This window comes from Homo sapiens, chromosome 19 (assembly GCF_000001405.40).
Source record: "Homo sapiens chromosome 19, GRCh38.p14 Primary Assembly".
NCBI lineage: Eukaryota > Metazoa > Chordata > Mammalia > Primates > Hominidae > Homo > Homo sapiens.
The window spans coordinates 47,502,270-47,526,118 of NC_000019.10; the positions used below are offsets into that span (position 1 = coordinate 47,502,270).

The window sequence follows — 23,849 nt, forward strand, 5'->3', positions numbered from 1 at the left end:
TTCAAGAAAAGGGGATATTACCGGGGGGAAATGGCCTAGGGCTTTTCTTTGAAGAGTTTGGGGGCAGAGGTAACAAATTTTAGGGGAAAAGCAACACCTATGTAATTAAAAAATAAGCTTTTTTTCTCTAGAGGAATTTTCTAAGTTTGGGAGCATAAAAATACAAAAAACATTTGGCTTTATTCACAACGTATTTTGTGAAAACTCAGGAATAACTCTTTGAATTTTGGGGAAACCAACAACATTCTCAAAAACGATGATAATCAATTTTATTGTGCACCTCTGCACCCTGCCTCCATGGTCCCACCACCAGGTTCCCTCTCCTCCACAGTCAGAAGTTCCTCCCTGCATTCAAACACTGGGTCTCTTGCCGTATTTCCTTAATTCAATCTTGGTGACATGAAAGATGTATGATGAAATGAGCCTCGAAAGGGCTCAACACACTGGCTTGTTGGACTTCTTGGGCCTGCAGGGAGCTCCAAACAGATCTCCAGCCTCCCTGAGCCCAAGGGGCTCCTCCCCACCCCTCTCCTCTGTGAAGCTATCCTGCCTCACTGGGGCAGGTTAAACACTCAGGCTCTGCAGTCAGAGCCTTGGTTTCTGAATCTTGGTTCTGTCACTTACTAGTTCTGGCATCCTGGGCAAGAGACTAAGCCAAGCCTCAGTTTCCAAATCTGTAAAATAGGGATATTTATAGACTGACCCTTAGGGCTGCTGTGCTAACGCAATTAAATGATGAGCACTTAGGACTCAACAAACAGCAGCCATGATTCACGTTGTTATTGGAATCACCTGAACATCCTCCCCCAGCCTAGAATTTAGACACTGATGGAAGCACTAAGGAAGTTACCAGGAAACCTGAAGTTCTGAATTTAAGGAGGACTCTAAGAGCTCATCAATCCACATGGGTTTATCTAGGTCTAATAATCTATTTATTCCCATCCTCTCTGTCCTTTCACCAAGGCCCCATGACCCAGAGTATAAAGTAACCCAGCAGGCACAAAACAAGAGAGCAGGCCAGTGGCTTTCCGATGCCGGAGAGGGCATACAAAGAGAAAGGGCCCTCAAGGCCAACCTCTCGGGCAGGCCTGTGTGAGTGGAAGCTGAGGGAGGAGGAGAGCACCTTGGAGGAGCTCTAGCGGAGATGACATACCACTCCAGTTTTTGGCCATTTTGAACATGTTTGCTGCTCTGGCGTAGATTTCGCATGCTTCCTCTATTTTGGATGAGCCTCTGGGGAAAAAGGAAAGAAAAAAAGGAGACAATCTAGTCGGCTATCCAGGAGAAAGCAAGCATTCTGCTCCAGTGCCGGGCACAGACGTGCCCCTACCCCTCACCCTTCACCTGTGAAGCCAGCTTCCCCCAGGCCTCTTGAGTCTGTGGCCCCCGCCCCTGCATACAATGGCACACTCACTTCGGGCAGACCAGCTCCCTCCGGGAGTACTGGGGTAGATACTGGGTGCTTGCTGGGGTAGTGGGGCGAAGAGTTCCTGACCCCACCACAACCCCAGGGTCTGACAGCCTCTTCTACTTCCTGCCTGGGATACTAGGGGCCCACTGGGTCCCAGGCGCGCTACAAATCCCCTTTCCCCGGGAGACTGCAAAGCATTCTGGGGGACTAGCCCAGTTTAAGACATCGTGTTGCTTTCGCAGAGGCAGCCTTAATCCTGTGCCTTGCACTCTGTGGTTGCTCAATAAAGACCTTGCAGCCCTGGAGTGTGTCATTACCAGCTCAGGACTGGGCATATATATCACACAGCCATACAAAGAAATGGGAAGCACTATTTTAAAGTGTAGATATAAGATGTTCCCATTTGTGTTTAAAAAAAAAAGAGGGTGGGCTGGGTGTGGTGGTTCATGGCTCCTGTAATCCCAACACTTTGGGAGGCCAAGGTTGGCGGATTGCTTGAGCTCAAGAGTTCGAGACCAGCCTGGGCCACACGGCAAAACCCCAACTCTACAAAAAATACAAAAAATTAGCAGGGTGTGATGGTGCACGCCTGTAGTCCTAGCTACTAGAGAGGCTGATGTGGGAGGATCACTTGAGCCTGGGAGGCAGAGGTTGCAGTAAGCCAAGATCACACCATTGAACTCCAGCCTGGACGACGACAGAGCCAGACCTTGTCTCAAAAAAAAAAAAAAAAAAAAAAAGAGAAAGAGAGTGAAAATAATAGAAACATACATGTTTATATAAACATAGGATATTTCTGGGCAAATACACAAAAACCTAGTAACAGCATTTTTCTCTTAAGGTGAAGCCTGCAGAAGGAGGGCCAGGTGTGGGAGGCAGACTTATTCACTGGACATCCCGTATTTGTACTGTCTGAATTTTTTTTTAACTGTTTGTACATCTTTTCGAGAAAAAAAATATATACATATATACACACACGTGTACATATATACACATGTGTATATATGTGTATGTGTATATATGTGTGTATATATCTATACATTTACACATACACAGACACACACACACACATATTTTTAAGTATTAGGATTTATATTTGGCCCTGTGGTCCAGCAATGAATTACATCTCTAGCAATTTATCCTAAAAAAACTAATCAGAAAAGTTACAAGGATGTTCAGCATAGCATTATTTAAAACAGCAAAACCCCCCAAAAACTTATTGTCCAACAGTAGGGATACACTGGGAGATAGACAGGAATTTGAAAACATAAAGGGTACCCTGTTTGGGCAGCTTCACTCTGGCTTCTTGACCTCCACATGTACATAATGAGCCTCCTCTTGACTTGGGGGACCTCATTAGTACCTCAAACCCGTAAGTCCCACTGCATTCTTCTGCCCTTAATAATACAACCAGGCTTAGCCCGCGAGGTCTGTAGTCTCTGTAACTGCTCAAACTCCCAATATCTACATAATCAGTAGAATAAAATCCACACACTCTGGAGTCCCACCAAATGGATTTCAGGGCCTCTCTTCACTGGCATAACTAGTGTTTAGTTTATTTTTAAGGAAGAGAAAAGGGAGGAGTGGGTACTTTCCCATTCAAATCATCCTCACCATCCCATCCCACACCCTGTGTCAACTGGCCCAACATTATACCTGGGAACTTGTCCACACCAACCCCAGCTGTGGAGGGGCTCAAAGGTAATTTTGGGAGCTGGGATGTGAGCATTCCTTCCCTCTGCACTGCGGATTCAGTGTGTCCAACCTGCCCATCCCTTTCAGCCACATGAAGTGCTCATTTCATCAAACCAGAGTCCCACAGCCACACACTTTGGGATTCGCTCAGTAGGGTCTGGATGGGGCCTGCAAATGAGATTTTTAACAATTGGGGTTTGGGGGGCCCAGGTAATTCAGCTGATCAGGTGAGTTTGAGAAGGAAAAATTGACTGAGACCGACTACCTGGAAAGCAGCCACCAGCGATCAGATCAGCGGCCAGGCCTGGCAATGTCAGCAGGCAAATAAATGCCCCCACGGTGGGCGGGCTGGTTGGGCCAGGGATCCTGGCCTCCTGAATCCACATCACACCAGGTAAATAATCTATTTATTCCTATCCTCTCTGTCATCTTGCCAGATGAAAAGCCTACCCTCTGCCTTCTGGGGCTGTGCTGATGCTGTCCCCCACCCTCTGCTGTCCCTGGGAAGTGGCCCTGAGCAATGTGTTCTTCCCGCACTCGCCCTGCTGCACTCTGTCTTCCCTCACCCACCTCACCTCAGCCAGCCCAACACACCTTGGGCCTTGTTTGGAGTGACTTCTTTTTTTTTTTTTTTTTTTTGAGATGGAGTTTCGCTCTTGTCGCCCAGGCTGGAGTACAGTGGCACGATCTCAGCTTACTGCAACCTCCAACTCCCGGGTTCAAGCAATTCTCCTGCCTCAGCCTCCTGAGTAGCTGGGATTACAGATGTGTGCCATCACACCCTACTAATTTTTGTATTATTAGTAGAGACAGGGTTTCACCACGTTGGCCAGGCTGGTCTCGAACTCCTGACCTCAAGTGGTCCACTCGCCTCGGCCTCCCAAAGTGCTGGGATTACAGGCATGAGCCACCGTGCCCAGCCTGGAATGACTTCTTTAGAACCCATTCCTGGCCTTGGAGAGGTAAGAAACTTTCAAAACCTTCTGGCTGAGAATCCTGAAGGGTCCTTTGGGGCCTGGCTGCAAAAAACCCTCAGAAGGACCTTCTCTGGAATGTTCTCTTAAAGGGACATTTTCAGACCTTAATCACAGGTCTGCCCACCCCACAGGTCCCCCAGCTCAGCCTTCCCTTCTTTTTGAGTGTGACTAAGTCCTATCCAGCTCCATGCACTCTCTGAAAAAGCACAGACCCTGGATGGGCAGAAATGACCCACGTCACTGAGTGGCCCACAGCGGGCAATCAACAATGAGCAGAGTCAGCCCAGCCGGGTTTATTTCAGGACGGACACAAAGCCTACCAGCTGCCCGGGCTGAAACTCTGTGATCCCAGGCTAAGCACAGCCAACCCTGCACGGGGTCAATGATTCTGTGGGGTGGAAAGGCCAGAGGGATTAACACCTGCTCAGGCCCCAGGCTTGCCTCCTTCTTCCCCTGCACCCCGCGGTCTTGCCCATTACCATGGCCAGGGGATGACAGGAGATCTCCAGGGTCCCATCCTCTTCTTTTAGAAATGGGAGTGAAGTCCCCAAAGGGGGAAAGTGACGTGCCTAGGTTCCAGTGGAAGATCCTGAAGAAGCCATTCACATACACATTTATTCACCTGGGGAACAGGTATCCGAGCATTTATTACGTGCCAGGAGATAACAACAGTACACGAAAGGAAAATCTAGCTGGGCCTCCTCTCCTGAGGGCCTGGGTGGCAGCGCATGTGACAGCTGACTGTCCCTCCCCCACTGACCTCCCCCAAGCTGCCTCTGCTTCACTCCTCCCATCCCACGGCTCTGAGCCACTCCGGGAATAGAGGGAACTGGTTTGGGCTGCCTGATGCAGGGCTGTCTATAATTACCCGCTCAGCTTTGCTCTCTCCCCCTCCAAGGCGGAGGAAGGAGTCTCAGGTCTCCCAAACACAGCCACCAACCTCAGGGACTGCCATATGGAAGGCTGGGCACTGCCAGGAATACACAGATGCCTGATGGGACCTGGGCCAGGGGGTTGTGCAGGGCAGAGTCTTAGCCCCCTCCTTCCTTCCTCCATCCACCAGGCACTTCCTGGCTGCCAGAAATACACCATGCCCTGAGACCCACCACCTGCAGCTCCCGAAGGACCTCACGAGGCAGGGTGGACAAAGTCAGGCCCCCATTTCGGGTCCTGGACTCACTCTATCTCTCTTGCCTCTGTGGAAGCCACAGCCACAGGCCTACGGTTTCCTCCTCAGACTTAAGGCCCACTGCCCCAAGTCTCCAGTCAGCACCCTCAGTGGGGAAGGTGTCCTAGGGCCCGTCACATGCCTGTGTCTTCCCTGTAAGCCCACCTCCTGCACGGCTCTCGAGACCATGTGCCTTAATCACGGCTGGCGCATGGCGTTCCCTGCCTCCCAGGCACTCCCCTGGAAGGAGCCCACAGCTCCTCACGAGAGCCCTTTGGGTGCTGCCCTTGCTTTACAGGCGAGGAAGCTGGGGCTCAGAGAGGGCGGAGGGCTTGTCCAAGCTTACCCTGCCAGGAAGCAGCAGGGCTTGGAAAGAGGACTGGGGCCCTGGGGATCCAGTCCTGCCCTTGCCTCTCACTCAGTGATCAGGAAGGCTTCCTTCCCCATGCCCAAGGCTCCTTGGGAAAATAAGGAGGGAGGACAAGGTCCCTGCCTGCCCCCACCCCTCCTCTAGATTAAAGAAGCCAGGGAGCCTGTACTGCCTAGGCTTCCCTCATCTCACGAGCAGAGGCTGCTCTCTGCTGGGGCTGCGTGGAGCATCCTCTAGGCAAAGGAGTATGAATTAAGCCAGCCCCCTACCGAGCCTGCCAGTAACAAGCCAACAGGCAGAAGGAACGTCAGAAAAAGTTAAGGCTGCCTGTGGTGCAGGGTCCACCCTGGCACAGGGAGCCGGGGGCCACCAGCCCTGCTAGTCCACTGACTGCACTGGAGCTGGGAGCTGCCAGAGGCTCAGCATCCTGAAGGCACCGCCACCAGTATCACCTGGAAGCGGGAAACCACCAGCTGCCTCCCGCCACTCTGCAGTGGGCCTTGCCTGACCAAGCAGAGTATGAGTTCCTGCAGGGCGGGGCCTGAGCCCAGCTCTGCTTTCCCATCTCTCCACAAGCCCCAGTTAACAACGGTGAAAGAATAAAGTGTCACAGGCTAACTGCCCAGCTCTGAAATCGCCACAGGACCCTCTTGTGACATGCCTGTCTGGGCAAAGACAAGGGGTAGAAAGAGAATGACTTTGGGGTGGCGAGACCTGGGCTGAAGTCCGTTTCAGGTACTTTGCTAAGTGTTCGACCTGGGGCTAGTTATCCCTGAGGCTTTTTTTTTTTAAATAAGAGATGGGGTCTCCCTGTGTTGCCTACACTGGTCTCGAACTCCTGGGCTCAAGCAATCCTCCTGCCTCTGCTCCCAAAGTGCTGAGATTCCATTCTTTATCTACAAAATGGCAGCATGTCTGGCCACAGTGGCTCACACCTACAATCCCAGGGCTTTGGGAGGCCGAAGCAGGAGGGTTGCTTGATCTCGAGTTTGAGACCAGCCTGGGCAACACAGTGAGACCCCAACTCTACTAAAAATTAGCCAGGCATGGTGGCATATGCCTACAGTCCCAGCTACTTGGGAAGCTGAGGTGAGAGGATCACTTGAGCCCAGGAGGTTGAGACTGCAATGAGCTATGATCGCGCCACTGCCCTCCAGCCTGGGCAACAGAACAAGACCCTGTCTCTCAAAAAATGAAAAATGAAATAAAATGGAGACAATGAATCTGGCCTGGGAGGAGTCTTTGTGAGGATTAGAAATGACACATAGTCAATACTTGGCACAGAGCGCAGAATGGAAAAGGTGCTCAATGGTTGCTATTACACAAAGGAAGAGAAATACGCTCAAAGGGGTGCCTGCCACCCAGGAATGGGAATTCTAGAGAGTTTCTTGTGGTGGTAAAAATAAAATAAAATAAAATAAAATAAAATAAAATAAAATAAAATAAAATAAAATAAAATAAATAAAATAAAATAAAATAAAATAAATGCTGACAGTAGTCAGACAGGCCTGGCCTCAGCGCCAGCTCATCGTGTGCCAGCCTGCGTTTCCTTATGTGTAACTAGGCATAAGACTCCACACCTTGCAGGGCTGCTGAAGCACGAGCAATCTTGCAGGCAGCACCCCACGGCGTGCCCAGCAGAGAGCTGGCCACACCACGGGCGTTCAGTAAACGAGAGCATCCCTCTCATCAGGCCCCGCAGAGGACCGATTCCAGGCACGCTTCCCTACTTCAGAATAGCAGCATGGGCTTCATCTCCATCCCAGATTAGCTAAGTAATGCTCCTCCTTCGGCTTCCAGAGTCCTGGCCTCCCATGCCCCACCCCTTACTGCACAATGCTCAAAATACATACAGGCCCACGGCCCTTCGAGATGAGCTCAGAGCCAGGATCTCACCTGCCACACGGCACACAGCCTGGCAGGCGCCCTGTTTCTTATTTTCTTATACGGATGCCCTCCTGCACCCCAACGGGATTACATTTCACCACAGACCAAGGGCGAATGTACTTCCTTTTTCTTAAAAGGTGTTCTCAAAGACCCTTGCCTCTCAGTAGCCCCATCCCAAAAAGGAGACGGAAATGTTTGTATGGCCAGGCAGCAAAGTCCTATCCATCAGGAAAGCCAGGAACTCTCGGATTCCCCAGAAACCTTGTGTGCCCTCAGGAAAGACTCCACTCTGAGACTGGGCAAGAGATGCCAAGTTTTCAGTTGTGGATCTTGGCAGCTGGCAGGGCACTGTGATTCACCAGGGTGCCCACTGGAAATGGCGCCGGGGTTTCTGCACGCTCTGCAGAGGAAGGCGGTCTGGAGAGAAATCTGGAAGCTCGTGCCCACACCAGTCTCAGCCAAGGCCCTGGGCAGGCCCTGTACAGACAAGCTGGCCCTCCCAGGGTCCCGCCGTTATTGCCTACAGGTAGTTCAAACAGGAACTGATTTGTCAAGATCTGATCTTAGGAATGCACTGTTTGTATACAGAACACCCTCTGCCACCTATTTCTCCAGCACTTCTAGCTCAACTTCCAATGACAATACCTACTAATAAAGATGACAGTGAGCCCTTAATAAACATTAGCAGAGCCAGGCAACGTGCTCCCACCACTTCCCACACATCGTCTCATTTATCCTTAAAACCACCTGAGGAAACAGTTACCATGATTTTCATTTCACAGATGAAGAAACTCCCTCTACACGTTTGTATCCAAGAGGAAGGAAGTTTTTATTTTGGCTATTTTGGGGACAGGGGAGGTGGCTGGGAAACATCAGGGATGAGGAAAAGCCCCAGGGAACAGAGCCGCCATTCAGAACCTGCAGGATCCCCAAACGGCACAGCAGGCACTCTGGATTCCCCAGGAGACACGCAGCAGGGAGGAGGAACTAGTGTGCCTGGACTCAGCCATCCCCTTCTGCTGCTGGCTCACTGTGCTGTAGTTAGGAAGTCTCCGTCTTTTTGCTTCCAGAGCAGAAGTTTGAGCTGCGCCCCCATCACCAAGGGGAGGAACAGGTATGGCTTTGAGCTTCTCCTAACTGGCTGGTGCTGTCGCCTTCAGTGGCTGCTGGTGCATCAAAGCCCCCTAGCGTCTGGCAGCCCAGAAATAATGAAGAGCAAGGGTGGCATCTGAGCACCAAGGCAGGCGACAGCACAGACACCCATCGCCTTGCGTCCCAGGTGCGGGCTCTCTGACTTGCCCTTTGACAGGGGCAGAGGCCCCTCAATGTGGGATGCTGTCATTGCTGGGGTTCCCAAAGGGGAAGGGAGAGGCACCAAGGACAAGCTGAGCCGCAACGCTCCCTTCTCCAGTCCCGGCAGCTACCAAGGACCTTGAATAAAGGTGGGTTATGAAATGTTGAACACAAGCAAACCCAGATCAGAGAGGAGGAGGTGCCTGAGTGATTCCCGCCCGCCAAGCAGGTCCTCCCAAGCTGGCCTCTGGCTGTGCTCCCAGCTCCCAGGCACACAAGCTCCGGTCAGGCCAGCCTCCCATCCTCCCTGCCCTCTGCCCTAACCTCACTCATACTCCCACAGCACCAGGTCAGCTCCTCTGGGAGCTGGAAGGAACTGAGATGAACACACCAGCTCTTTTTTTCACATATTTGGAGAAAACAGCCATGGGAGGACAGTTAAGAGGGTGGCAGCTCTCCAACACACCTAGTTTGCCAACATCCTTCCTAAATGTAGTGCCCAGAGATGGTCATGAACCTTGAGGAGAAACTACCGTGGTAGCACAGCAAAGGGGCTAAGTGAGAAGGCTCTGGAATCACACAGAACTGGGTTTGAATGCCACTTCTCCCACTTACTGTGGGGCTGGGCAAATAAGTCAACTTCTCTAAGCCCCCAAGTTTCTCTACCTCCACGGGGATTTTGTAAGGACTAAATCCATACCATCCATCAGCAGGTTGAGCCTGGCCCAGGCCAGGGTCTGAGTCAGAGCGAGCACTTAATAACCAGCATCTGCTAGTATTACCGGCACTGCAACAGCCTCCTGCTGTCACTCTCCCCCACACCAGCTGCTGCAGTCCTTTCTAGAAGGCAAACAGGAGCTCGCCAGGATGGGCCTCCCTTAGCCTCCTCGGAGATCTTCAGTGCCTCCTCCAGGCCCAGCCCTTGCTCACCAGACCTTCCTTGTCTGGCCTCACCTGCCGCTTCCACCTTTATGGTCTAACGTGGAACTCCCTGTGTTCCATCTTCCTAAGGCATGCTCCATAATAATCCTTGCCTGGAGTGCTGCTCCCTGCCAGAGAGCACCCCAGAACTCATGTTCATCCCCCCAGGGTTGGGGCCTCTCCCCCAGGAAGCCATTTCTGATCCCTCTGGATCTCAGTTCCCTGTCTTTCCAGGCAGAACCTCCCGTCACGGTAGATCTCTGTTGCACCATCCCTGCTGCCTAGAGCACCCTCCCCGGCCCCACTCCCCAGCAAGTCCTGGGATTCCTTGGGGCCCAGCTCACTCCTCACCAAGAGCCTCCCCCTGGTTCACGCTGCTTCCTCTGAGCTCAGACAGTCACAGGAATGACATCATCGAGCCCCTCCTTACAGTAGGTAATTCCACTTTATTGGTGTTTGCTGTTCATCCTGCCTTCCCAATCAGGTAGCAAATGCCTTGGGGCTGACTTAGCTGCTCCCTCCAAGCACACAGTCCAACAGCCCACTAATCCCTGGGCCAAAGGGACCAGACACCCAGAGCCACCCAGGAAAACTATCACCAAAAACCCAGCTCGTGGCCCCACCCCCAAACACAGCACTTGAACTTCTCCCCTTGTGAAGAAAAAGAAACACACACACACCCTCTCTCTCCTCGCAGCCTCTAAAATAAAACATTTTTCACCTAATCAATCCAGTCCATCAGCCCCGGATGTTTCTCCACACCAGGCAATTCGCCATCATGTTCTTCAAGTTATTTTGCTAAACATTATCCAACCTCAAACAAGGGGCGTGGCCTAGAGCCCTTTTCCTGTTCCTTCCTCTCTTGTAAAGATCCCTCTCCTTCGTGTCTTACCAGCCTCTGCCAGGCTCCTACCACAGTCTCTTCCCATCCCCAGGCCCTCCTCCCAAACCCCCTTCTCCAGCCTTCTGCAGATGTTCCCAGTCCCACCACCGTCCCCAGGCTCTGCTTCTGAGTGGCCACCACACACTGTTCTCTCTACAAGCCCACTAGTCCTTTCCCAGGTCTCCTCTCAGTTTCCACAACCTCCCCTTGACCCTTTCGGGTCGTCCCATCAGCACAGATCCCACCACCTCCCACACCACCGCCCCCTGCCAAACTCCCTTCTCCTTCCTCTGCCCAGAGCCTCATGCTCCTCTCAACCCTACTAAGTCTTCGTGGATCCCTTTTCTGTTCCCTTTCAGCTCCTCTTAGCACACTCATGTTTCTCAGTCTCTCCCTCTCCTGACCCCTCCCAGACCTCTCCGCTCGGGCGTCCACCTTGAACCCCCATCAGCTCTCTGCACGCTCCGAACCTGTTTCCTTCTGGAAGTCACATTAACAACAGCTAACACTCTCAGAGATGTAACTCCACGCCAGGCTCAATTCTAACACTCATAGCAAATGGGAGGTAGGTTTGATTTGTGATCTCCTTTAGCAGGGAGACTAAACAATTTACCCAAAGTCATGAAGTAAGTGGCAGAGCTACTTGGGCTCTTGGCACTTCTAAGCCACTACAATTTATCACAGGATGGTCGTGTCAGCTTTTAGGAGCTAACGTGAGTTTTATGCCACGTCATATGTGTTAGTTCTGTCTCCCAGGCCTTTTCCCATCCCTCTTCTCAGCATGTCTCTGTCATCCCTATTACTCGAGGATCACACAGCAGGAATTTGATCCCCCGTTTTGGTTCTCTCAGTCCCCCTGTCTCTCCCTGTTATCCCTCCATCTCCTTGGCCAAGCCACCACCACGCATTCCCCCACCCAGGAGTCTCCAGCCTCAACCCAGGCCTCCTCAGGCTTTTTTCTTTCTTTCTTTCTTTTTTTTTTTTTTTTTTTTTGAGACAGAGTCTCGCTCTGTCCCCCAGGCTGTAGTGCAGTGGCTCGATCTCGGCTCACTGCAACCTCTACCTCCGGGTTCAAGTGATTCTCCTGCCCCAGCCTCCCGAGTAGCTGGGATTACAGGTACCCGCCACCAGGCCCAGATAACTTTTGTATTTTTAGTAGAGACGGGGTTTCACCATGTTGTCCAGGCTGGTCTCGAACTCCCCGCCTCAGATAATCTGCCCACCTCGGCCTCCCAAAGTGCTGAGACCTCCACAGTCTTGACTCCATCATCCCGGGTTCCTCCGTTCAGCTGTCCTTAAACTAGTCACTGCTAACCAGGGCCGTACTCACCCCATGCACCCCCCACACTTCAGACGCGGCTCACCGCTCCTAGGATCATCTAGCCCTGAGCCCCTCTGCCTGGTGTCAGCCCCCTTCAGCCTTCACCCTCACCGCCCAGGGCCCACGCAAATCCACTGCTCCAGGGGTTGAAAAGGTCAGTCCCTCGGGCAGGCGTCCTCAGCCCCAGGCCCCATCACTGCCGCCTGAGAGCCTTCAAACAGACTCCCCTAGAGCTCCGAAAAGCCTCTGGACCTGGCTTCTCTCCCGGACTCCCTCCGTCCCCCCAGGCCGGTCCCCTCCAAGGCTTCAGGACGTACTCCCTCGGTCCAGGTTCTCCCCCGCCCGCTGGCCTGTCTTCGGCCTGGGTCCCCTTCCTCGCCTCAAGATAGTGTCGCCTCGGTCCGTGTGTCCTCAGCCCAAATCCCTTCCGCCATGTCAGACCGTCTCTCCTCAAACCGTGTTGCCCCGGCCCAGGCTCTTGGCCCTCAGCCTGCGTCCCCTCTGCCGCCTCAGGCCATGTCACCTTATTGCAGGTTCCTCTCCGTCCCCTCGGCCCGAGCTCTGCGTGCCCTAACCCGCCACCTCCGAGCGTGACTCCTTCGTCCTCTCAGCCTAGGTCCCGGCCGACCCCTCAGCCCGGTTCTCACCCAAAGAGGCCAGAGAAGAAGGACTGCGAGTTCTTCACTTTGCGCTCCGCCTCGGCCAACAGCGCCATCGCCTCCGCTTCCTTCCCGGAATTGTCCATGGCGGCCACAAAGGGACTCAGCAAAGCGCCTGACCCTGACCCTGGGAAGACTCAGCCGCGGCCGGGCCGCGGAACACAGATCGGTAAAACTCGCCCGGCTGCGTTGACGTCGCACCGGCGCGCGTCGCTTGCGGCCAGGAACCACGTGACTAGCGCTGGCCAACCAGCGGCCTCGTAACGCCGCGCCCGCTCCGCCGGACACGCCCCCACCAGCCGCCGCACGCCGCCCGTGACTCGTGACCCCCCAATCGGCGTCAAGAGACCTCAACGCATGCGCACATACCGGCGAACGGCGCTCCACTCTCTCCCCAGCGCTCTGTACCTCACCTCCCACGTGACCCTGTGGAAGGCAATGGCAGTACCCCCCGCCGAGGCCCCGCCCCACGGTGTTGCTGCTGGATCCTCCTCCACCAATCAGCAGGAGCCCTCGGCTCGCGCTGGGGCGGGGGGTCCCCCACTCGCCCTCCCCGCGGAACTCTGGCACAGTCAGCTGACCGCAGACACTCACGTGACAGCTCGGGGCCCACGCCCGGGTTTGACAGTTCTGCGCAGAACTTAGTCCCGCCCCCGCGGCTGGTCTCGCCGGTTTCTTCACTTGGAAAGGCGTTTGTGGGAAAAGGAAACCGTTCTGCTTTTTCTTGCTCCCTCTGTCGGCCAGTACTAGAACTGCTTTGGGGAGACCGGTGAAGAGAGACTGCAAACAAAAACTTAAGAGGTTCTCTAACTCTGGTTTCATAAAAAATAGCTGAAGAGGGCCGGGCACGGTGGCTTACGCCTGTAATCCCAGCACTTTGGGAGGCCGAGGCGGGCGGATCACTTGAGGTCATGAGTTTGAGACCAGCCCGGCCAACATGGCGAAACCCCGCTCTACTAAAATACAAATATTAACCGGGTGTGGTGGCACACTCCTGTAATCCCAGCTACTGAGGAGGCTGAGAGAGGAGAATCGCTTGAACCGGGGAGGTGGAGGTTGCAACGGGCCGAGATCGTGCCACTGCACTCCAGCCTGGGCGACAGAGTGAGACTTAGTCTCAGAAAAAAAAAAAAAATAGCTGAAGAGAGCGTGTTAAAAAAAAATTCAGATTCGAAGATGGGCGCGGTGTCTCGTGCCTATAATCCCAGCTACTCGGGAGGCGAGAGGATCGCTTGGGCCCAGGAGTTTGAGTCTAGTTCAAGTCCCGCCTTGGGCAACATAGCAAGACTCTGTCTCTAAAAAAAAAAGTTTAGGCTCAAACACACCTCCTGCTGTCCCAGAAAATTGAGTTGCTGGTTTCTGAGACAGGGTCTCACTCTTTGGGTTGTTGGTTTTGGAGACAGGGTCTCGGTCTGTCGCCCAGGCTGGAGTGCAGCAGCACAATCATAGCTCACCTCAGTATAACTTTGTAGTGCCAGAAAGGAAGGAAGTATTCCACACGTGTGCTCACACACAAAATTAGGGGGTATGCCAAAGGAGCCAACTGAAAGAACTCCCAATGGCCAAAGCTGGAACAATTTGAGCATCAAAATAAAGTAGTATTGGATTATAATCCCAAACATAAAGTATCCATGAGCCTATGGTCATATAGATGAATATAGAACAAATAAATAAAGGGGGGAGAATAGACAAATAGTTTGTGCAGAAGAATTCCAAATAATCTGCGTAGATACTCTGCTCTCAAGAAGGTGAAGGATACCTCCCCATTCTGTAAGTATGGACTGTGCATAGTGACTTCCTTTCAAAGAAGAGGGTACAAGAAAGGGGAGAAAAAGCCTAAATTTACAGTGGAGAAACCTGACATTGACATCTAGGTGATTGAGGTTAACCTCAACATTGATAAGTCATGTGATTAAAATGGCTCTTTACTTCTGGGATCTTTCAATCTAATCATGAAAAAAACACTAGACAAATTCCAGTTGAGCCACATCCTCCAAAATACTTGCCCAGTACTCCTCAACACTGTTGGTGGGTGCAGTGTGTCACATCTGTAGTCCTGGTACTTTGGGAGGCCAAGGCAGGAGGATCACTTGAGGCCAGGAGTTTGAGACCAGCCTGTCCAACATGGGGAAACCCCGTCGCTACTGAAAATACAAAAAACTTAGCCCGGTGAGGTGGTGCATGCCTGTAATCACAGCTACTTGGGAGGCTGAGGCAGGAGGATCACTTGTACCCTGGAGGTGGAGGTTGCAGTGAGCGGAGATTGCCTCACTGCACTCCAGCCTGGGGGACAAGAGGGAGACTCCGTCTCAAACAAATAACACTGTCAAGTCATCAAAACAAGGAAAGCCTGAGAAACCATCACAGCCAAGGAGACGTGACTGCTAAATGTAATGTCTTACCTTCGGTGGGATCCTGGAACAGAAGGGCATTGAGTTAAAAAACCAAGGAAATTGGCCGGGTGCGGTGGCTCATACCTGTAATCCCACCACTTTGAGAGGCTGAGGCGGGTGGATCACCTGAGGTCAGGAGTTCCAGACCAGCCTGGCTAACATGGAGAAACACTGTCTCTACTAAAAATACAAACATTAGCTGGGCCTGGTGGAGGGCGCCTATAGTCCCAGCTACTCAGGAAGCTGAAGCAGAATTGCTTGAACCCAGGAGGTGGAGGTTGTGGTGAGCCGAGATTGTGCCACTGTGCTACAGCCTGGGTGACAGAGTGAGACTCCATCTCAAAACAAACAAAAACACTAAGGAAATCTAAATAAACTATGAAGTTTAGTTAATAATATTGTGCCATACTGGTTCATACGTGGTAATAAATGTACCATTCTAATATAAGATGTTAATCATAGGGGAAACTGGGGTATGTGGGAATTTTTTTTTGCTGTCATTGCAGTTTTTCTACAAATCTAAAACTATCCTAAAAATCTTCTTTAAATAAAACAGTTTCCAAGGCCGTACCCACAATGGTTCCAATTCTGAGTCTGTGGTGGGTCACAGGAATCTGCATTTTTAAAAAACAGAACCCTATATAATTAGGATGCAGCCAGACCTGGTGGTTCATGCCTGTAATCCCAACACTCTGGGAGACCAAGGCGGGAGGACCGCTTGAGCCTAGGAGTTAAGGACCAACCTAGGCAAAAAGCAAGATCCTATCTCCACAAAATTAAAAAAATTTTAATTACTCCTTGGGAGGCTGAGGTGGGAGGATTGTTTGACCCCAGGAGTTTGAGGCTGCAGTGAGCTATGACTGTGCCACTGCACTCCAACCGGGACAACAGAGTGAGACCCTGTCTCATCTCAAAAAAAAAAAAAAGTAAAATTAGGATGCAGATAATCCCGGGACCACAGTTTGAGAAACCGCTATTATCTAGGGGGTTGGCTGAGCCGAGCAAGGCATAAGAAGCCTTCCCCCAACTCTCTTCATACATGAATAGACTTGCCTGGACCACCTACTTGTGGTTGCCACTGTGTCCTGACCACAGAGCAGGTGGGGGTGAGCCTGGATTACCACAAGCGGTTTTGGTTCCATGTCTGTCAAAGCAACACTATGTAAAAGCTTCTGTTTAAGCTGTTCCATTTCAGGGTAATTTGTCATGCAGCAACAGATAATATAACCCCTCAGCCTTTTCAACCAGGGAATTTTTTTCCATTTCCAGAGTTCATTGGATTTATTTAGGATGGGATCCAAACAATATTAGCAATCACATGAGAGCTTGTTAACTAGTAGCCATTCAGTTCTTATGGTGCACCCTCCCAAGTGCTTAATTTACATTTTATTTCTATTTATTTATTTATTTTGACATGGAGTCTTGCTCTGTTGCCCAGGCTGGAGTGCAGTGGCACGATCTCTGCTCACTGCAACCTCTGCCTCTGGATTCAAGCAATTCTTGTGCCTTAGCCACCCAAGTAGCTGGGATTACAGTCATGTACCACCACACCTGGCTAATTTTGTATTTTATATTTTTAGTAGAGATGGGGTTTCACCATGTTGGCCAGGCTGGTCTCGAGCTCCTGACCTCAAGTGATCCGCCCACCTTGGACTTCCAAAGTGCTGGCATTACAGGCGTAAGCCACCACGCCTGGCCATAATTTACATTTTATTTAACTGATAGGTTGCGGGGGTTGAGGAGGGGCAATTTTCATCCCATTTTACAGATTGAGAAAACTGAGGCTCCCACAGGGAAAGTGATTCGCCCTAGTTTACAAGGAGGTAAGAGGAGCCAGGATGGAATTGAGGTTCATCTCACACCTGAACCCTTTCCCTTAACTGCAGTGTTCCAACTGCTTCAAACTCAGCGTCCACCTCTGCCCCACTCCCAGCCAATCTTTAAGCCTTAGCTGATAGGTGGGCCCTCTGTGAAACCTTCTCACGCTGCCGTCTACTTTCCCAGCTCTTCAGAACACGGCTCACCCTATCATAGACACGATCACACCCTGATGCAATCAATCCTCTGCAGTCAATTCCCCATCTGAGCTAATGGCATCAACTACAGCTGCTCAGGCTCAAACCTGCCCTGCTGGCCTTGATCTGTCCTTTCCTTGACCACCTCCCACTGATGTGTGAGCCACTGACAACTCTGTCGCCCAGGCTGGAGTGCAGTGGCGCGATCTTGGCCCACTGCAACCTCCACCTCCCAGGTTCAAGTGATTCTCCTGCCTCAGCCTCCTGAGTAACTGGGACTACAGGTGTTCACCATCATGCCTGGCTAATTTTTTTGCATTTTTAGTAGAGACGGAGTTTCACCATGTTGGCCAGGCTGGTCTCAAACTCCTGACCTCAAATGATCCACCTACCTTGACCTCCCAAAGTGCTGGGATTACAGGTGTGAGCCACTGCGGAGCCTACCTTTCTTTTCTTTCTTTCTTTCTGATGGAGTCTTCCTCTACCAGGCCGAAATGCAGTGACGCAATCTCGGTTCACTGCAATCTCCACCTCCCAGGTTCAAGCGATTTTCCTACCTCAGCCTCCCAAGTCACTGGGATTATAGTCATGTGGCACCACACCCAGCTAATTTTTGTATTTTTAGGAGAAATGGGGTTTCACCATGTTGGCCACAATGGTCTTGATCTCTTGACCTCATGATCCGCCCGCCTTGGCCTCCCAAAGTGCTGGGATTAGTGGAGAGAGCCACTGCACCTGGCCATGGAGCTGCATCTTGAGTGGTCTAGGCTAACTGTGGTCATTTCCCTTCTCACTAACAGGGATCAGTTTAGAAGCGAACACAGGCTCAATGAGACATACGGGCATCTGCTGGGAGCTGTTAAAAGTTTTCCTCACTCTTAAAAAGGGAGGCAGGGAGGGGGGCTGTTTTCTCTTCTTTCCCCCGCCGCCCGCCCCCTGCCGGTCTGGATTTTGGTTCGAGGTTATTCTCGCCTCTGCTGGAGCCCTCGTTCTGCCCCTGCCCCTGCCCCTGCCAGGGGTCCCTGATTTCAAGGCTGAGCCCCTACTGGGACAGCCAAACTCCATGATTGTTTAAATCAACACCAACTCTTCTGTTACAGTCAAAAGCATTTCCAGTACCATGACCTAAAATCACCTTGTTTGCTTATTACTGCTACCTTCCTGCTCCTACAAGAGAAGGTCCGTGAGGAAAAGGGCCTCTCTTGCTTCACTATCCCTGTTGTACGGATTGGCAACGTCCAGTGCATTCTACAGCAGGTGCTTCGTAGATGTTTGCTGAATGAATGTCCAAATCAACATGCCCGTGTTCTCCCCAAGGCCCCCAGCCCCCAGGGCAGGCCACAGCTGACTCACCTCCTGCCCTTAGCACGTGGTGGGGTTCCTAAGCCTTTATTGGATCAATAGGCAGGGAAGTCAAAGACAGCAGCTCAAGAACCCAATTTAATCAGATTTACGAGTTGACATGTACAAAAAACACCGAACAATGCAGAATTCATCGCAAGACTAGGGACTGAATCTGGAAGGTAGAGTCCCCGCCCCAGGGAGGGGCCCAGCGTGTTGGAGATCTCAAGGTTTTTTCCCACTGATTCTCTAAGTCTTGGCCTTATCTAACACATGAAACCAAACCCCACAACTGAGGCTAAGATTTAAGAGCTACCCAGAGCTAAATTTTCCCCTCCCCAAGCCTCCCTGCTCTAGAAGTGGAAGGGAAAGAAGGGGAGAGACTATGAACCTAAGGAGAGTGGAGCCTCCAGCACCACCGGACAGGGACTGCATAGCTGTCCGACAACTGAGCTCCTCCTGCCTATCTGTGGCCAAATGCCCTCCATGTTTGCAGGCAGGTTGGCCAACAGGGGACAGGGAGGGTGGGGGGAGGCAGAGGGGTGCCCCAAACGCCCTGGAGAGGCCGAAGGGAGGAGGGGCAGCACTGGAGGCCCCATTCGGACTTGCTGCCACGGGAGTCACCACTGCAGGGGGCCGATGTCAGCTCCCAGCTCCTCTTCCTTTAGCTGGAAGGGCTTCACTGGCCACTTCACCCTGATGATGGGCTCCACGTGGTCCTGAAGGCGGTGCCGCTTCATATGGGCATTTCGACTCTTGATCTTGTCAAACACCCTGAGGAGTCACCAGAGGACATGGGGTCAGAGCAGGGAGGAAGGGATCACAGGGGCTGAGGCTGGGAGCCCTGGGAGTGTTTCCAGGAGAAAGCTGGGTACCTTTCACACTCTCTGCATGGAAAAATGCCCTGGCTCTCTGCACTTCCCAACAGCTCGGGGGTCCGCTTGGAGCCTGCATTTGGGCTGGAGCTGAGGATGGACTCCCTCCTATAACTCTTGGTCTTTAACTTGGGAGTTGGATGGTGGCTGGGTCTCTCCCGAGGGCTGCATGGGACCTGCAGAGGGAGCAAAAGTGACATAAGGGTGCTGACCTGTCCTGCTGTAAGAGAGACACAGAGCTGGGGGCATACGTGTCTCCTGCAGGAAAACCCTTCCATCAGGAGCACCCCCGCCCTCTGACCCCACCGTCCAACTCAACGGGTAGCAGGCACTGGGAGGAGAGAAGAGCTCCCGACACAGCCCTGGTTCCTCTACCTTTTCCTCTGTCCTTTCCACTTCCTCCGGCTCTCTCTTGACCCTCTTTTCTAGCCCTGGGGCTCGGCCACAGTCAAACTTGATCATTTTTTTCCAGATGTAATAATACTCAACGCACTGAGCTACCGTCTTTGTCTGGATCTAGTGAAAGAAAACAAGCAGGCTGTGGCTGTGCCACGCGGGCCCTGGGAGTGTGACCTTGCCATTGGGCCGGCCGCCTCCTTTGGAAAGCCCTCCGGAAGCACCTCTTCCTTTGGCTTGGCGTTACCACTCACCACAAAGGCACAGGACCACAAAATCCTTCCTGGGGACGAGGGCGTTCAAACTGGAGCCACATAGTAGCCACCAGTACCTAAGCCTGCACACTCTGAGCAGCCATTCCAGCTCAGGAATTCTTTCCTAAGGAAGATGGGCACAAAGGTTGCACCAGGGATGCCAACTGTGACATCATGCTAATAAATCGGAATGCTCTCTGCAGGCAGAATACCACACAGACATTACAACAGCTAGGCAGAGCCTCTAAAGTCTTGGCAGGAAGTGACCCACTCTAGAAGAAGGGGAGGTTTTGAGTGCACAGTGTGAACCTAGGGGATTATTTTCCCGTTCCTCCACTAAGAAAGGATCCCACTAAAAATAACTTCTGTTAAAAACAAAAGGGAAGCTGGGCTTGGTGGCTCACGCCTGTAATCCCAGCACTTTGAGAGGCTGAGGCAGGAGGACGACTTGAGGTCAGGAGTTCAAGACCAGCCTGGGCAACATAGCAAGACCCCATCTCTACAGAATTTTTAAAAAATTAGCCAGTCATGGTGGTGCATGCCTGTGGTCCCAGCTACTTAAGATGCTGAGGCGAGATGATCGCTTGAGCCCAGGTGTTCAAGGCTGCAGTGAGCCTTTTTTTTTTTTTTTTTTTTGAGACAGAATCTCGCTCTGTCGCCCAGGCTGGAGTGCAATGGCACGATCTTGGCTCACTGCAACCTCCGCCTCCCGGGTCCAAGTGATTCTCCTGCCTCAGCCTCCTGAGTAGCTGGGATTATAGGTACCCTCCATCATGCCCACCTAATTTTTGTATCTTTGTAGAGACAGGGTTTCACCATGTTGGCCAGGCTGGTCTTGAACTCCTGACCTCAGGTGATCTGCCTGCCCCGACCTCCCAAAGTGCTGGGATTACAGGCCTGAACCACCGCACCCGGCCAGCAGTGAGCTATGATAGTGTCACGGTACTCCAGAGCGAGTATCTTTTTTTTTTTTCACTGCAACCTCCACCTCCCAGGTTCAAGCAATTCCTCTGCCTCAGCCTCCCGAGTAGCTGGGACTATAGGCGCGCACCACCATGCCCAGCTATTTTTTTGTGTTTTTAGTAGAGACGGGGTTTCACCTTATTGGCCAGGCTGGTCTCGAACTCCTGACCTTGTGATCTACCTGCCTCAGCCTCCTAAAGTGCTGGCATTACAGGCGTGAGCCACCGCGCCCGGCGAGCGTCTCTTTTAAAAAAAAAAAAAAAAAAAAAAAGGAAAAGTTTAATTGCTCTAGGAAGAAAATTTCTTGGGAAATTAAATCGGCTATTGAGCGAACTCCAGAAAAGACATTCTCCACCCAAATGTTTTTCAGCTTTGTGAGTATTCACAAACGAGGAGTCAAAACAGCACAAACTCTGCCTAAGAGACATCACTAAGTTTAAAAAAAAGTTGGACTTCTGCTTCTGAACAAGATGGAGCAACAGAACCAGATTTACCCTCTCGTCCAAAACAATGAAAACACAGAGTCAAAATATAAACAATGTTTGGCAAGACACCAGGCGTCATTCAACAAAGGGCAGTGAACCCTGACAGGAAGCAAGCTGCCACCGCTCCAGCTTATCAACTTGTGTTTCCAGGCCACCACCCAGGCAGGGGCAATTTAGGCAGAACCCAGCAGGACTTAGGGAGCTGAGGTGGAGCACAGTGCCTCCGGAGACCACGGCGGTAGAGCCCACAGGACAGAGGATGGGAGAGGAGAGAGCTACACACAGAACATTCCAGAGATGGGGAGCAAATTTCCCCCAAGAACTCACCCAAAGACTGCCCAGCACATGCATGGGAAGAGACCAGCCAAAGCTGGGCAAAGAGCCATCCAAAAGGATGAGAGGGGAAAGTGTGTGCTGCTCCTACAGGGCCAGGAAGAGTGCCCGTTCCCACAGCCAGAGTGGGAAATTTTATGATGCAGGGGGCACTGGGTAGGGCAGTGACACAGTCTTGCCTCAGTAAGGAGAAATAATCAGCCTTAGAGAAGAGCTATGCTGGTCCCATCTAAAAAATCTAAAACTGAACCTAAAAGTAACTGTGTCCCAGAACAAAACTCAAGAATATTTACAAGGCTGCAAAAATATCCAGCATCCAACAGCTAACATTCACAATGCCCGTGATCTGGTGAAAATCACCATGCACGCAAAGACGCAGGATAACACGGCACATCAGGAGGAGAAAACCCAATGTATCAAAGTCAACCCACCAGAGACACAGGTGTTAGAATGAGCAGGGAAGGACATGAAAGGTTACCATAACTGTTTAATATATGTTCAAAGAGTTATGCCAGAGGCCAGGCGCGGTGGCTCACTTGAAATCCCAGCACTTTGGGAGGCCGAGGCAGGAGGATCACCTGAGGTCAGGAGTTTGAGACCACCCTGGCCAACATGGGGAAACCCCATCTCTACTAAAAATACAAAAAATTTAGCCGGGTGTGGTGGCACGCACCTGTAATCCCAGCTACTCAGGAGGCTGAGGCAGCAGAATCGCTTGAACCCAGGAGGTGGAGGTTACAGTGAGCTGAGATCGTACCACTGCACTCCAGACTGGGTGACATAGCGAGACTCTGTCTAAAAAAAAAAAAAAAAAAAGAGTTATACCAGAGCTAGGTGTGATTGCACACACCTGTAGTCCCAGCTACTCAAAGTTGGAGGATCACTTGAGCCCAGGAGGTCAAAGGGTGCAGTGAACTATGATCACACCCCTGTACTCCAGCTTGGGCGACAGAGTGAGATCCTAGATCTTAAAAGAAATAAGAACCAGTAAAACCTTCAAAACACTGCTAAGAGAAATTAAAGATGATGCATAGAGACACAGCCCCTGTTCATGAGTCAGAAACTGAATGTTGTTAGAATGTCAACTCTCCTTGGCTGGGTGCGGTGGCTCACGCCTGTAATCCCAGCACTTTGGGAGGCTGAGGCAGGTAGATCACCTGAGGTCAGGAGTTCAAGATCAGCCTGGCCAACATGGTGAAACCCTGTCTCTACTAAAAATACAAAAATTAGCCAGGTGTGGTTGTGCGCACCTGTAATCCCAGCTACTCGGGAGGCTGAGGTACGAGAATCGCTTGAACCCGGGAGGTGGACGTTGCAGTGAGTGAAGAGCGCGCCACTGCACTCCAGCCTGGGCAACGAGAGTGAAACTCTGTCTCCAAAAAAAAAAAAAAGTCAACTCTCCTCAATTGGCCTATAGAGCCAATGCAGTACCAATCAAAATCCTAGCAGGTTTTTTGTTTTGTTTTGTTTTGTTTTTTTTGGTAAAAATGGATAAGCTACTTAGAAAGTTCATATGGTAATACATGATCTTAAGACTTAGAAAGCTACAGTAGTAAAAACAGTATGGTATTACATTTTTTTGTCTTTTCAACAAAAGGTACAAATGAATATCCACATGCAAAAAATGAACTTTAACTCATACTTTACACCATATACAAAAATTAACACAAACTGAATTGTAAACCTAATTGTAAAACCTAAAACTATAAAACTTCTAGAGAAGGCCGGGCAAGGTGGCTCACGCCTGTAATCCCAGCACTTTGGGAGGCCGAGGCGGGCAGATCACGAGGTCAGGAGATAGAGACCATCCTGGTTAACACGGTGAAACCCCGTCTCTACTAAAAATACAAAAAATTAGGCGGGCATGGTGGTGGCATGTGCCTGTAGTCGCAGCTACTCGGGAGGCTGAGGCAGGAGAATGGCATGAACCTGGAAGGCGTAGCTTGCAGTGAGCCAAGATCTCGCCACTGCACTCCAGTCTGGGCGACAGAGCGAGACTCCGTCTCACAAAAAAAAAAAAAAAAAAAAAAAACTTCTAGAGAAAACAAGGGGAAAATCTTTGTGGTTGGGTTAGGCAAAGAATTCTTAGATACAACACCAAAAGCACAGTCCATAAAAGAAAAATTAATAAATGACTTCATCAAAATGACAAAATTTTTCTTTAAAAGACATTGTTAAGAGATTAAAAAGCTACAGATTGGGAGAAAAC

The 23,849-nt window shown here is 51.3% G+C and overlaps 2 protein-coding genes across 19 annotated transcripts in view, besides 3 other annotated features; both read right to left on the reverse strand.

Annotated features, from left to right (window-relative positions):
• NAPA (NSF attachment protein alpha) overlaps nucleotides 1-12,794 on the reverse strand; it is a 30,534-nt gene extending 17,740 nt beyond the window's left edge. For 3 of the 5 annotated variants that reach the window (XR_007067028.1, NR_038456.2, NM_003827.4), the window contains exons 1-2: nucleotides 12,574-12,794; nucleotides 1,154-1,233 (exon numbers count right to left, since the gene is read on the reverse strand). Coding sequence is in view for 2 of the 5 variants with exons in the window: in NM_003827.4 (NP_003818.2) it covers nucleotides 1,154-1,233; nucleotides 12,574-12,671 (178 nt within the window). In the remaining 3 variants the exon portion in view is untranslated. Of the gene's footprint in view, nucleotides 1-1,153; nucleotides 1,234-10,443; nucleotides 10,515-12,573 lie in introns of those variants that run through there. The other 2 variants (XM_011527436.2, NR_038457.2) reach the window with 2 other exon arrangements.
• Nucleotides 12,743-13,082: a silencer, noted in NCBI's record as "silent region_10855". NCBI's record gives its function as "represses an Ori minimal core promoter by ATAC-STARR-seq in GM12878 lymphoblastoid cells {active_cell/tissue: GM12878}" and the evidence as "EXISTENCE:reporter gene assay evidence [ECO:0000049][PMID:35858748]".
• Nucleotides 13,173-13,442: an enhancer, noted in NCBI's record as "active region_14867". NCBI's record gives its function as "activates an Ori minimal core promoter by ATAC-STARR-seq in GM12878 lymphoblastoid cells {active_cell/tissue: GM12878}" and the evidence as "EXISTENCE:reporter gene assay evidence [ECO:0000049][PMID:35858748]".
• Nucleotides 15,943-16,237: a silencer, noted in NCBI's record as "tiled region #13246; K562 Repressive DNase matched - State 10:DNaseD". NCBI's record gives its function as "represses a minimal TATA promoter and a strong SV40 promoter by Sharpr-MPRA in K562 cells {active_cell/tissue: K562}" and the evidence as "EXISTENCE:reporter gene assay evidence [ECO:0000049][PMID:27701403]".
• ZNF541 (zinc finger protein 541) overlaps nucleotides 18,421-23,849 on the reverse strand; it is a 52,620-nt gene continuing 47,191 nt past the window's right edge. For 11 of the 14 annotated variants that reach the window (XM_047439506.1, XM_011527369.3, NM_001277075.3 and 8 more), the window contains 3 exons: nucleotides 19,585-19,725; nucleotides 19,210-19,385; nucleotides 18,421-19,108 (listed from right to left, as the gene is read on the reverse strand). In XM_047439506.1, the coding sequence (XP_047295462.1) occupies nucleotides 18,955-19,108; nucleotides 19,210-19,385; nucleotides 19,585-19,725 (471 nt within the window). In that variant the 3' untranslated portion in view covers nucleotides 18,421-18,954. Of the gene's footprint in view, nucleotides 19,109-19,209; nucleotides 19,386-19,584; nucleotides 19,726-23,849 lie in introns of those variants that run through there. The other 3 variants (XM_017027351.3, XM_047439507.1, XM_047439508.1) reach the window with 3 other exon arrangements.